The sequence below is a fragment of the Homo sapiens genome, chromosome 2 (assembly GCF_000001405.40).
Source record: "Homo sapiens chromosome 2, GRCh38.p14 Primary Assembly".
NCBI classification, from domain to species: domain Eukaryota; kingdom Metazoa; phylum Chordata; class Mammalia; order Primates; family Hominidae; genus Homo; species Homo sapiens.
The window spans coordinates 128,530,927-128,545,078 of NC_000002.12; the positions used below are offsets into that span (position 1 = coordinate 128,530,927).

Here is a 14,152-nt window from a genome sequence, read left to right on the forward strand (position 1 = left end):
TAGAAAAACCAAATCTAAAATTCATAGGAAACCATCAAAGACCCAAAATCGCCAAGACAATCTTGAGCAAGAAGAATGAAGCTGGAGGCATGATGCTTCCTGGTTTAGAAGTATACTACAGAGCAATAGTAATCAAAGGAGTGTGGTAGTGCTGTAAAAACAGATATAGAGACCAGTAGAACAGAATAGAGAGCGCAGGAGTAAATCCATACATTTATAACAGACTGATCTTCAACAACGATGCCAAGAATGCACTGTGGTGTAAGGATTGTGTCTTCAGTAAACGGTGTTGGGGAAACTGGATATTCACATACACAGCAATGAAAGTGAAACTTTGTCTCAGCCTATGTACAAAAATCAACTCAAAATGGATTGAAAACTTAAACTTAAGACCTGAATCCATAAAACTGCTAGAAGCAAACAAAAAATCTTCTTGACATTGGTTTGGGTAGTGTTATTTTGAATACAACCTCCCAAAGCACAGGCAACTGAAGCAAAAATAGACAAATGGGATTGTCTATTTTTTTTTTATAGAAACTAAAAAGCTTCTGTACAGCAAAGGAAAAAAAATCAACAGGGTAAAGAGACAACCTACAGTATGGGAGGATATATTTACAAACCATACATCCGATAAGGGGTTAATATGAAAAATATGTACAAACTCAAACACTCAATAATGAGAAGACAGTCTGATTAAAAATGGGCAAAGTGCTGGGAGTGGTGGCTCACACCTCTAATCCCAGCACTTTGGGAGGTCGAGGTTGGCAGATCACTTCAGGTCAGGAGTTCGAGACCAGCCTGGTCAACATGGGGAAACCCCATTTCTACTAAAAATACAAAAATTAGCCTCCAGCTATTTGGGAGGCTGAGGCTTGAGAACCGCTTGAACCTGGAAGGCGGAGGTTACAGTGAGCTGAGATCACGTCACTGCACTCCAGCCTGGGCAACAGAGTGAGACTGTTTCAAAACCAAAACCAAAACCAAACAAACAAAGAAAATGGGCAAATGACTTAAATTGACATTTTTTTCCAAAGGATACATACAAATGGCCAACAGGTACTTGAAAAGGGGCTCAATGTCACTAATCATCAGGGAAATGCAAATCAAAACCTCAATGAAATATCACCTCACACTGGTTAGAATGGCTAACTACAACAACTACAAAACCTCCAAAGATAACAAGTATTGGTGAGGATGTGGAGAAAAGGGAACCCTTGTTCACTGTTGATGGGAATGTAAATTGGCACAGCCACTAAGAGATATAATATGGAGGTACCTCAAAAAATTAAAAATGAAACTAATATATGATCTAGCAATTCTACTTCTGGGTATATAGCCAAATAAAATAAAGTTAGTTTCTCAAAGAGATATCTTCAGTCCTGTGTTCACTGCGGTATTTTCACAATAGCCAAGATATGAAATCAGCCTAAGCACATGTTACATATATAAGAGATATATATATATTTTTTTATTTATTTATGTACCTACACACCCCCCCATACACACACACACACACACACACACACACAGAATGGAATAATATTTATCCTTAGAAAGAAGAAATTCTGTCATTTGCAATAACATGGATGAACCAGGAGGACATTAAGTGAAATAAGTCAGGCACAGAAAGACAAACACTGCATGATTCGCTTAAATGCGGAATCTAAGAAAGTCAAACTCATAGAGGCAGAGAGGAGAATGGTTGTTTTCAGGGACTGGGGGATGGAGGGAACCAGAAGATGCTAGTCAAAGAGTATAAAGTTTCAGATATTCAGGATGTATAAGTTCTGGATGTCTCATGTATAGCATGGTAACTAAAGTTGATAATGCTGCATTTCATACTTGAAATTTGCTATGAGAGTAGATGTTAAATGTTTTCACTACAAAAAAAAGATAACTAAAAAAATTTTGCTGTGCCACAGAAACCAGAATAAAAAGAATAATTGCTGTATGTTTTAATTTATATACAGTTGTAGAAAACGCAAAGGAATTTATAGTGATAGAAATCTCAGTGGTTGCCTTGGGACTGGGAGGGGGTGAGAGCCAGGGGCATGTGGAAGATTTTGGGGACAATGGATGTGTTCATCATCTTGATTGTGATGGTGGTGTTTCACAGGGGTATAGTGAAGGATACCAAGATATTTCACCCCAAGATACATTTCTTTGGTGTATTTTGAGATGGCCATTCAGAGGGCCTGCAGACAGAAGTAGCCCTGCAAAGCTGTCTTTTGGGGGGAGATTTGCATCTGTGCAGAAAACCTGCACTGATGCAGCCGACTTTATTTGAGGTCTTCCTTTGTCCTGTCTAGGAATGGTTAACCAGGAGTCTGACACCCTTAAAGGCCACCCCTTAGAGGTGTTAAATAAACATTTAGCATCTGTTCTATCTGAGGGCTGCAGCCTGTGAGTTCTCATCTACACAACAAGACCACCTCTGGTAGCCAGGCCTCCTCTTCTCCCCCTTCCATTACCTGTTCTTGGCCATGGTTGGAGCCCCCATTCTTTCTGTAACCTCAAGATGGTATAAAAGCATCAGCATCAACCATGTGGCTGTTTCTTTGAGTTCTTGTATTTTGTGTGACTCCCATGCATGTTAATATATTTGTATGCCTTTTCTCCTATTAATATGCCATTTGTCAGTGGCTTTTCAGTGAACCTTCAGAGAGTGAAGAGGCAGTTTCTACTTGGCTTCTACAAAGGATATGTTAAACTTGTCACCAGACTTCCTAAATCCAGAGGCAATTACGTTTATAACCTTTCAGCTTCTTTTATTTTGCTAATATTTACACATCTCTCTCTTCCTCAATAATGTTCTTATACTGTTATACACACACATATTTGATCAGTTTAGGCTTTATCTGTAGACTTACTCTGGTGGACGTTGAGGATTTGATCTCTCTTACACCTGCACTCTTTTTCATCCACACCCTCCCTGTTTCCCTAGCATAGGAGTCCTTCCCTTATCAATGGCTTTGTGTCTGAGGTTTCATTTACTAGTGGTCAACCGTGGTCTGAACATATTCTGCTGCTACTCTGGTGCTTTAGGTTATTATTAAGTAAAATAAGGATTACTTGAAGGCAAGCACTGAAATACCACAACAGCCCATCTGATAAGCAAGATGGCTACTAAGTGACTTAATGGGTGGGCAGTGTCTGCAGCATGGACGTGCTGGGCATAGGGAGGATTCACATCCTGGGCGCTACTCAGAATGCTGTGCAACTTAAAACTCACACATTGTTTACCTCTGGGATTTTCCATTTATGTGACAATGCCTATGTCATTCACCTCACTTCATCTCATCATGTAGGCGTTTTATCATCTCACATGATCACAAGAAGGGTTAGCATACTGCAGGAAGCTATTTGGAGGGAGAGAGAAGGAGAGCACATTCACATAACTTTCATCACAGTCGATTGTTATGACTTTTCTATTTTATCACCAGTTATTGTTGTTGATGAAGAAAAGTGACTCAGAGCAGTCTAAAGAATGTAAGGTCTGCCGGGCGCGGTGGCTCACGCCTGTAATCCCAGCACTTAGGGAGGCTGAGGTGGGTGGATCACCTGAGGTCAGGAGTTCAAGACCAGCCTGGCCAACATGGTGAAACCCCATCTCTACTAAAAATACAAAAATTAGCTGGGTGCAATAGCACACGCCTGTAATCCCAGCTACTCAGGAGGCTGAGGAAGGAGAATCGCTTGAACCCGGGAGGCGGAGGTTGCAGTGAGCCGAGATCACGCCACTACACTCCAGCCTGGGTGACACAGCAAGACTCAGTCTCAAAAAGAAAAAAAAAAAAAGAATGTAAGGTCTGCAAAACTGATCAGGCCCAAGGAGGCATGAGCATGAGATTTCAGTCACAACCCCTGCACCCAAGCCCAAGGTTAATTGTTTAAAGTCATTACAGTTTCTTTGTTTTCTTCCCTGCAGTTTCCAGACTGGCTGGTAAATTACCGAAAATGTTACCAGTTGCACAATGTAGCCCTCGCCCATTATCTTCATGTTCCTGGAATTTGTGATACAAAAAGTAGCACATAGCCAATCAATAGGTTAGGTCAACTAAAGAACTGCCTGCCCCGTCTTTTTTCCTTTAAAACCCCACTTGTAACTGCTGCTCTCAGAGCATATATTCAGGGAAACTTGAGTCTATGTCCCCTGGGTTGCAGTCCTCAAACTTGTCCCAAATGAACCCTCTACCCATATTAATTTTGTCTCAGTTTCTTCCTTTGGGTTGACATTTCAGAGTGATGCTCCCTTGCCACTGGGCTCTCTTGGATGTGGCACTCAGTGCCAGGATGAACCTATTGAGTTCCTTCGACTCCAGAGGTTTCCCTGGGTACAAAGAGTGAGTCCTCTTGAATTCAGACCTCACTTCCTTTAAGTTGAGGTCTAGATTTTGTTTTCAAATCCTCTCTTTCTTTTAAAAGTGAGGGCTTTCATCTCTGTCTCTGGACAGGAGATTTGGTTAAAGAGCTCTACAGAGAACTTCTGGCTTTTCTGCCTCTACTTCATGGCAAAATATTTGGGTTACAGCATTGGTAGTCTAGTGTAAGTTGTTTCATTTTATTTTTTGGCCTAAAATTACATAGCACCCTTTAAAAATTGCAGCTGCTTCCTATTATTTGTAATTTGGACTTGTATTTCAATTTAATCCATTCCTGCTGGTTTTAAACTGAAAAGAACATGTAAGTGAGTTCTCCCACCCAAAAGTTAAGAGACACTCCCTCCCTCCATACCGACTGGGGACTCTAGGTGACTAGAGACTTTATGGAGGTGTTGAAATGTTCGTCCATGATACGTAGCAGCCTTATAGGACCTCCCTTCAAGAAAAATATCTGCAGGGATTTTTGGCTTAGCCAGAAGGTGCACATAAGGGCTGGTCACCTGGCACCTTGAGTGCTCTGCTGCCGAAAAGTGATGAGAGATTCCGAGACATGTAAAAGAGTGAATCCATCCTGGCTAACACGGTGAGACCCCATCTCTACTAAAAATACAAAAAAATTAGTTGGGCATGGTAGCATGTGCCTATAGTCCTAGCTGCTCAGGAGGCTGAGGCAGGAGAATTGCTTGAACGCGGGAGGCAGAAGTTGCAGTGAGCTGAGATCGCACCACTGCACTCCAGCCTGGAGAGAGAGCAAGACTCTGTCTCAAAAACAAAAAACAAAAGAATGAGTCATGACTCACTGATGACTCTTTGAGGAATGGCACTCACAGAGCAGCACACTTCAGCCTACTACATCGTTCCAGCCTTGGTCACTTTTGAAAGGGAATTTCTAAAATGGTGGGAAACTGATTGTCAAAGCTGAGCTTTCCCTTAAGGATCATCCCCCGGCCCTCGGAAATACCCGCTGTATTTGTGTATAACACCCGTGGAGCTCCACCTTGGACTTACACAACTCAAGATCATCCCAAGTAGCAATGGCCAAATTGGGGGTCTTTTGAAATTTCTAAATTAATATATTTGCACACACAATGGGAAAATGCAGGTTTTAGAACCAGACAAATGAATAGAAAGCCTACTTTCTGATTGCCCTGAGTGAAATCTGGTAATAAGAGATTTGAAAGGATTTTTTAATGAGCTGTATGGTCAGAGTAGGCTTAATTAAAAGCTGATTTTCAAACTATAATTTTTTCCTGTCTTCCTTTTCTCTTTTGGATACTGTTTCTGGGAATTGTTTTTTAGTTGACAGAATCCGCTTTTCAAATATGTCTGGTCCCTCTGTTTGCTTCCTTTCTTGTTGGCATGATTTTTGCTGACGAAAATGTAAAACTTCATTGGCTTTTTATTTTATTTATTTATTTTGAGACAGAGTCTCGCCCTTGTCGCCCAGGCTGGAGGGCAGTGGCACGATCTTGGCTCACTGCAACCTCCACCTCCCGGGTTCCAGCGATTCTCCTGCCTCAGCCTCCCAAGTAGCTGGGATTACAGGTGCCCACCACCATGCCCAGTTAATTTTTGTATTTTTAGTAGAGACAGGGTTTCACCATGTTGGCCAGGCTGGTCTTGAACCCCTGACCTTAGGTGATTTGCCCGTCTTCGCCTCCCAACATTGGTCTTTTAGAAACCTTAAAATCTCCCCAAATTGGCTCCGCTCCTCTAGGACTTGTTTTTCCTTCCATTTCTGCTCCTCCTTCCTTTTGCCATGTTAGATACCACGTGAAGAAATCTAGAGGAGACTTCCAACAGCCCTGGGCCCTCTTGAGGAACACAGGAAAAGGCACCACAGCCCCTTTGTGAGGCCTTTTACTTTCCTTGTGGAGTCCCAAGAGTAGCGGGTATGCCCCTCTCAGGGCTGAAACTCTGCTCTCTTTTGCATTGAGTTACCCGATCTCTTTGGCTTTGTAGGCACCAGGGGTTCCATTGTACTGTGAGAGGGAAGGTGACCTTTGTGTGTGTGACGGCTGGTGAGTCAGATGTGAGAGCTGCAGCTTTGGAGGTGGCCGCAGCAGTTGCAATGAGTGTATTTATTTCAGGGATGACTCGTTTCTTTGTGTGTTTAGATAAGAAAAGTGTGGTTTGGATACTTGCACGTGGTGGGAACACCCACCACCGAGGGATAGGATTCCCATGGGGGCTGGGCTGATGGCAGAGGGGGCTGGTTGCTGTTGGATTGCCCAGCAGTCTCTGGCGAATGTCTTGTAGTGAGGCGCTCTAAGAAAGTGTTGCAGGGCCTGGTCCCATCACGTTTTCCTCATTTGCGGAAAATGGGATTCAATGTAAAAGTGGGATCCTTGATTTCTGAAGATCTAGATGCTCTGCCTTTCAGCTGGGCCTGCTTTTCACATCTGTAAGTATTAGGCCCTGGAAGCTACAAATGCTTTGTGGGCTCTGTTCATTAATGAGCTCTGCCCTGAGCTCAGTGGCCCAGTTGGAAAACAAAGACCAAATTAGAAGCTACCTATCTAAATAAAATTGGGCTCCTTGTCAATCCTGTGGTGAATTCCTATGGTTTTGTGTTACTGTGGGATTTCTTCTTAATCTTTCTCTGACAAAACCAAAACCCTTCTTGAAAATGTAAATTCTTTCTCTGTGTTTCAAGATGTTAATTTGCTACCCTGTTTTCTCCAAAACCAGTAAGGGCTTCAGCCATGTGGGACAGATAAACTTTAATTTGTTCCATTTACAGAGGCACAGTTTAATCCAAGTGTCCTTTTAAACTAGTGAGTTTTACTTGTCTCATGGCTAAAATTTTAAAGTCCAAGCTGTAAAATTTTTGTGCCTATCTCTGTTTTTATGTTTACATGTGTACATGTCTGTGCGTATGTTGTCTGTGTGGTACCAAATTGACTTATAAGTGCATGAGTACTCACAAATTGCGTGCCCAAATGCTTTCAAGTTTACATGACTTTAGCAATCTTTGGTAAATAAAGCTAGCTTAAAAATTGTTGGTAAAACAAAATAGAAATGTCTTCAGAATTTTAGACATTTTTTTTGACCAAGTCTACTGGCGAACAAATACATACTGTCTCTGCTAGATGTTTTAAGGTCATAAAACTGTTGCTTCTGTGATACTTTTGATGCTTGTGTGATTTTTCTGTAAGCTAAAGCTGTGAGGGCAGGTGGCTGGGCTTCCTTGGAGTCTTGTGCACATCTTACTGTGAGCTTACATCTTTGGTGTTGAGCCTTTAGATTCTGCGGTCTAGGAGGTGGCCGTGGTGAGAACTGAAGTCTCATGGATGTTCACAGTGTCTAGGCCACCAGCTGTGGGGCAGAGCCAAGCCCAACACATCTTGCTGGCTTCTGCCTCCCAGTCATGCTGGGAGGGATCAGGTCCTGCAGGCATTGTCTTCACAGCTCTGTCCTCTGTCCTGGGCTCTGTACCTGATACATAACAATTAAAATTACTTACTTTCTTGGTTTTTCACCAGAAATTACGGTTGCCAAGAGTTAAGATTGTAGTTTATATATATAATTAAAACTATTAGATGTAAGAAAAACAATTCTATAAGCAGAATGTATATGAAAAGTAGGAGGCCGGGCGCGGTGGCTCACACCTGTAATCCCAGCACTTCAGGAGGCCGAGGGGGGCGGATCACAAGGTCAGGAGACCGAAACCATCCTGGCCAACATGGTGAAACCCTGTCTCTACTAAAAGCACAAAAATTAGCTGGGTGTGGTGGTGGGTGCCTGTAATCCCAGCTACTTGGGAGGCTGAAACAGGAGAATGGCTTGAATCCAGGAGGCAGAGGTTGCAGTGAGCTGAGATCGCGCCACTGCACTCCAGCCTGGCGACAGGGCAAGACTCTGTCTCAAAAAAACAAACAAACAAAAAACAGAAAAGTAGGATATGGTTTTGGCAAGGAAAATTATAAGAAAGACAGAAAATGATAAGATAGACAGAGAATGTGTTACTTTGTTAAATAAAAGGTATTTTTGCCTAGTTATTTAAAGGTTGCTTTAAATGGAAGATTTATGGAAATCTTATTTTGTGGTCAAAGCTGATTAGATAAATCTGTTTATGAGGTTTATTAAAATTAGGTTTAATATTAGTAATACACTAATACAAAGGTTGAATTTGTTTTTTCTTTTGAGTAAGATTCTTTTATAGTATTAATAAGAGATAGTAAAAGATTTTTGTTCACCTTTCGAGTAAACTGAAAACAAAAAGACCAAATTTCTTTGCCAATTGCATCTTTAACCAGGGCCACGTTAAGTTCTATTTTTTCTGGGGGAGGTTCTTTTGAGCTTCACAGCAACCTGGGAACCCATTTCAGTGACAAATCCTTCATCCTACTTGTCATTTATGGCCTATTTTTCAGCATTTCTGTTGTGCATGACACCCTCAGTCTTCCAGACTGGTGGGATGCACAAACGAGATGATAAAAATCAGTTGGCATGGGAGGCCAAGATGAGCAGACCACCTAAGGTCAGGAGTTCAAGATCAGCCTGGCCAACATGGTGAAACCCCGTCTCTACTAAAAATACAAACTTAGCCGGGCCTGGTTATGCACGCCTGTAATCCTAGCTATTCAGGAGGCTGAGGCAGGAGAATCACTGGAACCTGGGAGGTGGAGTTTGCAGTGAGCTGAGATCGCGCCACTGCACTCCAGCCTGGGAGACAGACAGAGACTCTGTCAAAAAAAAAAAATTAGTTGGCAAGGCTTACAGGGACTTTTAACGTTACCTGGCCTAAGGCTCTTCTGTTGGTGTCACTTAACTTACGTGCTACCCCATTTGGAAAGCATCAGCTTTCTGTCTTTGGGATAAGAGCAGGAAGACCCACCCACCTAGATGAAGGAGTGGAACTAGCTCTCCTTAAAGGTGATATTCTTCATGATTGCCAAGGCCTTATAAAGCTTCTCACTAAAACTTCTAAATTAATTAAGGATTATTTTAACAGCGAGCTCCCCAGAGACGAAGTCATCAAAGATCATGGCTTCCAATTTTATTCCAATTTTATTTATTGGAAACGCCATGAAATAAAGAACTCCTTCTAACCATATTGGAAGGGACCGTATCAGATATTGTTAATCAATCCTTGTGCAGCTTAATGGCATTGACTCACAGGTTCACATTCCTCATTTTAAAAGGGCAGCGCTGCCTAAGTGGACATCTTCCATCACTGAGATCTCCAACTGAAGCTGGCCCACAGCCAGGTGCCTTGTGCTTCAGAGCAGGATGAGAAGTGGAAACTTGGTTAGAAAAAATCACTCAAAGGGCAAGATGGCTGCAATACATTGGAAAAACAGACCCCTTACAGCATTTGACTGAGTACCTTCAGGAAAAGGAACACTTGCAGGTCTGGATTTCAAATGATTTTGTTAATATTTGTTCTTAGTTGCGTATTTTTGATCCTTAAATTGATCATGCCTTGTATTTCTAGATGTCTAAAGGCAACAACAAAAACTAAAATCATTATGGCTGGATGCTTAGAAATGATCCAACACACCACTGTTCCTTTGTATGCAATAGCCTGACTGAGATCTCACTGCTCTGTCCCGTTGTGTTGCCAGTCAACTTGGCCTTGAGAACTCACTAAGTTCTTAAGCCATAGTACCTCTCCCGTTTCCCTCTGACATGGGATGAAATTACTTGGGAATGAGCCTCCTCAGTGACATGGGACAAACTTACATTTAAAATGTTGGTCATCAATGCTTTTTGTTTGAGATGGAGTCTTGCTCTGTCACCAGGCTGGAGTGCAGTGGTGCTATCTCGGCTCACTGCAATCTCTGCCTCCTGGGTTTAAGCGATTCTCTTGCTTCAGCCTCCCGAGTAGCTGGGACTACAGGTGTGTGCCACCACACCCAGCTAATTTTTGTATTATTTGTAATTGTAATATTTGTAATTTTGCACCCATCACCAGGGCTAATTTTTAAAATGCATTTTGATTTTTTAGTAGAGATGGGGTTTCACCATGTTGGCTAGGATGGTCTTGAATTCTTGACCTTGTGATCTGCCCGCCTTGGCCTCTCAAAGTGCTGGGATTACAGGCATGAGCCACCACACCCAGACTTCATCAATGCTTTTATAAGAGAAAGATCTCAGTCAAAAGGGGAAAATGAGGAAGAAAAATGACTCAGAGCAGTCTGAAGAATGTGAGGTCTGCAAAACGTATCAGGCCCAGGGAGACATGAGCATGAGATTTTAGTCCTGCACCCTGCACCCATCCCCAGGGCTAATTTTTAAAATGCATTTTGATTTTTTTTCTTCCCTGTAGTTTCCAGACTAGCTGATAAATTATCTGTAATATTACCATAACTTGCACAATGTGACCTCCTATCACTGTCTTCATGTTCCTGGAATTTGTGATACAAAAAACAATGTGTAGCAATAGCCTTTGTTCAGCTTAGGAACTGCCCTTTCTTTTTCTCTTTAAAATCCCACTTGGAACTGCTGCCAGTTGGAGCATATATTCAGGGCAACTCGAATCTGTGTCTCCTGAGTTGCAGTCCCCAAACCTATTACAAAAAAAGTCTCTACTTATATTAACTTTACCTCAGTTTCTTCCTTTAGATTGGCATTGGTATTTTTTTTTTTTGTCTTTTTTCGACACTGAGTCTTGCTCTGTCACCCAGGCTGGAGTGCAGTGGCATGATCTCTGCTCACTGCAACCTCCACTTCCCGGGTTTAAGCGATTCTCCTGCCTCAGCCTACTGAGTAGCTGGGATTACAGGTGTGTGCCACCATGTCTGGCTAATTTTTGGTAATTTTAGTAGAGATGGGGTTTCACCATGTTGGCAGGCTGGTCTCGAACTCCTGACCTCAAGTGATCCATCTGCCTCAGCCTCCCAAAATGCTAGGATTACAGGCGTGAGCCACTGCGCCCAGCCCATGAGCCACTGTGCCTGGCCTAGGTTGACATTGTCAATCTCTTATTGTGCCTAATTTATAAATTAAAGTTTATCATAGGTATATATGTATACAAAAGAACAGAATGTGTAGGGTTCAGTATCATCTGCAGTTTCAGGCATCCACTGGGGGGTCTTGGAACGTATACCTGGTGGATAAGCTGGGACTACTATAGTTATTGCCATGTTTTCTCAATGAATTTTCTTATTTACAGATTATATAATATGCTGATGCAAATATTATTCAAAGCAGAGCCATATAATATACTATAGTTATATACGTATATTTCACTGAAATTAGTAACTGGCTTATCTTTATTTTTCATTTGCTTAGTTTTCTCTGTACTTATTCTTTTTATACTTTTCCATTACCTTTCTATGACAGTTTCCACAGGGTCAATTACATTGGGTGGTCTAATAGTCCTAAGTTATATCCTGGAGGTCTCCAGCCTCCTTCTTTCTGGGCTGATTATTCTCCAGGCCTGCTGTGTGACTCTCTTATGGCAAGTCCCTTTACTCCCATCCCTGGACTCCTTCTGGGATGGAGCCCCTGTATGCCAGACCCTGGGTCCCTCTTCCTTGATGTATTCCCTTGGTTGGATATCTCCTCTGTAGTTCCACTAAGGTTGATGGGGGTAGAATATCAGAAGCAGGTGATGGATGGCAGCCCTCATTGAGTCTGTCCTTTGAGCCACCCTAGTCCATTGTGGACCGGTTGCCCTTTGGCTTACAGGGTTGTCCTGTGGGGTCTTCCTTGTCCTTGGTCCTGGAGGTTCCCTTTATATTTCTCCCGTGAAGGGTCTCCTGTGTCCTGAATCCTGGGCCTGCCTGTTTCTTGGTTGGCGCATTTTCTCCAGTATCTTCTGAGAAAGGAAGCATGAGATAAATGTTTTAGGCTTTACTTATCTGAAGCTATCTTCATTCTGCTCTCACAGATGATAAATAGGTGCCTGGGCATGGAACTCTGGTGGGAAGTAATTATTCTCTAAGAAGGTATTGCTCCCTGGTTTTCTAGCTTCTGTGGGCTTCCGAGAAGTCCAAAGGCATTGCTAAGTCTTACTCCAATGTATGGGATCTGTTTTTCTTCTTGCTGAAAACTTGTGGAATCTGATTTTATCTCCGTGTTCTAACCTGTCTCAGTGAGGTGACTTAGGCTGGCTCTGTCTTCATCCATTTCTCTGGGTACTCAGCAGACCCCTCAGTCTGGGAATCTTCAGTGCAGGGTTTTTTCTTGTTTATTTGATTTCCTTTATTCTGTTTTCTCTGTTTTTTTTTTTCAGAAATTTTTTCCAGTTATTATTTGAATATGTACACTGTCTTGGGTCAGGTTCCCAGAAGGATACCCTTAGATGAGGTTTGTGTGCAGTGACTTTGAGGGCAATGGGTGAGGGAGTCGGGAAGCAGGGGAGGGAAGAGGTGAGATTTCAGGCAAAGTCCCATGGAAGGGCCTTCGGTTGGTCCAGCAGGGAACTGGAGTGTGAAAGCTGAAGCTGCAGTTCGGCGTCTTCCTGCCCTAAGGTAAGGGAGCTGGTTTTTACATTCCTGCAGCTGGCTGTTACTGCCTAAGGCCATCCAGGGGGATCTAGTCTCCCAGCACTTCTAGTCCCAGTGGATACAGGCCAAGTGGCTCTGGTGGCTGAAGAGGAGTCCTGCAGGAAGGTGCAGCTGCAGGGCTGAGAGCAGAGCACCCCAACGCTGGGAGACGGGAGGAAAAGTCGCAGAAAAAGAGGGCGGGCATCTGGATGGGTCAGTGAGGATGCTGGCTACACGGCCTCGCTTCACAGACGGGTCCTCTATTCAAAACACTGTTTTCTATCCTGCTGTCTAGCTCTTTGCTTTTTTCTCTCCTTTCTGTGAAATATCCTCAACTTTTTATTATGCCATTGCCTTTATCAATTTAAACTTTGTGTTATACAGTTTTTAATTTCCAGGAGCTCTCTTTTGTTTTCCGGACATTCTTTTTTAGAGCGCCCTTTCTTATTTCCTGGCTGCAATACTTTCTGTGTCTCTTAGAGGCTATGGCTAGCGGTTTTGTTTGCATCTCTCTTTCTGTGTGGGTTCCCCCCAGGTTGCTAGTTCTCTCTCTGTCATGATGGACGCTTTGCTCGGATATCTGATTCCTCTTGACCCAAGAGCAGGAGGGAAACCATTGGCTGGGAGCTGGGAGTGGGTAGGTGGGGCATGTGGAGCGATCGGGAGGGGAGAGGCTTTTACGGGGACCCCGGTGTCTTCACCTTTAGGTCTTGAGTTCCCTTCTCTTCTCTTACCTGAGGGGTAAAAGGTCTGGCTGCCCTGTTCTGAGAGCCAGGAAGGGGAAGCGTGCATGCAGACGGCGCATGGCCACGTGCAGGGAAGGGCTCTTGGTGCTCTCTGTGCCTATCTGCCTCACACTCTCTGCTTACCCATCTTCAGAGGGGAGCCTCCAGTCATCTCCAGGAGGTGGGGGGAGGGGAGGGTGGTGGTAAGGGCAGGGGCGCTTCCCTTGCTAGGTGCAGAATGGAAGGGGGGGGCTCTCGGGGGTCTCACTACTTCTCCAGCAGCCTCTAGATCTTATCTTCACCCCCTGGCCTTGGTTACAGCAGTTGCTGGTGCTGCGGGTTCTGGGCGATCTGAGGGGTCTGCAGGGTGAATCGCGCTGATTCTTTGGCTCCTTCACTGCTGACTCAGGAATTCCTTCTTTCATTTTACTTCCCACCTTTTCCTTTGCTATCGCATCTCTCCTGTTGTCTTTGTTTTTGTGGATTTATGGCTTTAAAAAAATTTCCTTACTGTGTTGTTTATTTTGGAGTGGGGCGTTGGGAGGAGGTAAAATCAGGGGTGCATGCTCAATTAGCCATCTGAAGCCAGGAGCCCGTTGTCTCCTTG

The 14,152-nt window shown here is 43.4% G+C and overlaps 1 long non-coding RNA gene across 1 annotated transcript in view, besides 2 other annotated features; it reads left to right on the top strand.

The window, feature by feature from the left end:
• LOC105373611 (uncharacterized) overlaps window positions 1-14,152 on the top strand; it is a 241,632-nt gene that overhangs the window by 128,324 nt on the left and 99,156 nt on the right. The window lies entirely within an intron of this gene.
• Window positions 5,578-6,374: an enhancer, noted in NCBI's record as "NANOG-H3K27ac hESC enhancer chr2:129294078-129294874 (GRCh37/hg19 assembly coordinates)". NCBI's record gives its function as "activates a minimal SCP1, AML or CMV promoter by ChIP-STARR-seq in naive H9 embryonic stem cells {active_cell/tissue: H9 hESC(naive)}" and the evidence as "EXISTENCE:reporter gene assay evidence [ECO:0000049][PMID:30033119]".
• Window positions 6,375-7,171: an enhancer, noted in NCBI's record as "NANOG-H3K27ac hESC enhancer chr2:129294875-129295671 (GRCh37/hg19 assembly coordinates)". NCBI's record gives its function as "activates a minimal SCP1, AML or CMV promoter by ChIP-STARR-seq in naive H9 embryonic stem cells {active_cell/tissue: H9 hESC(naive)}" and the evidence as "EXISTENCE:reporter gene assay evidence [ECO:0000049][PMID:30033119]".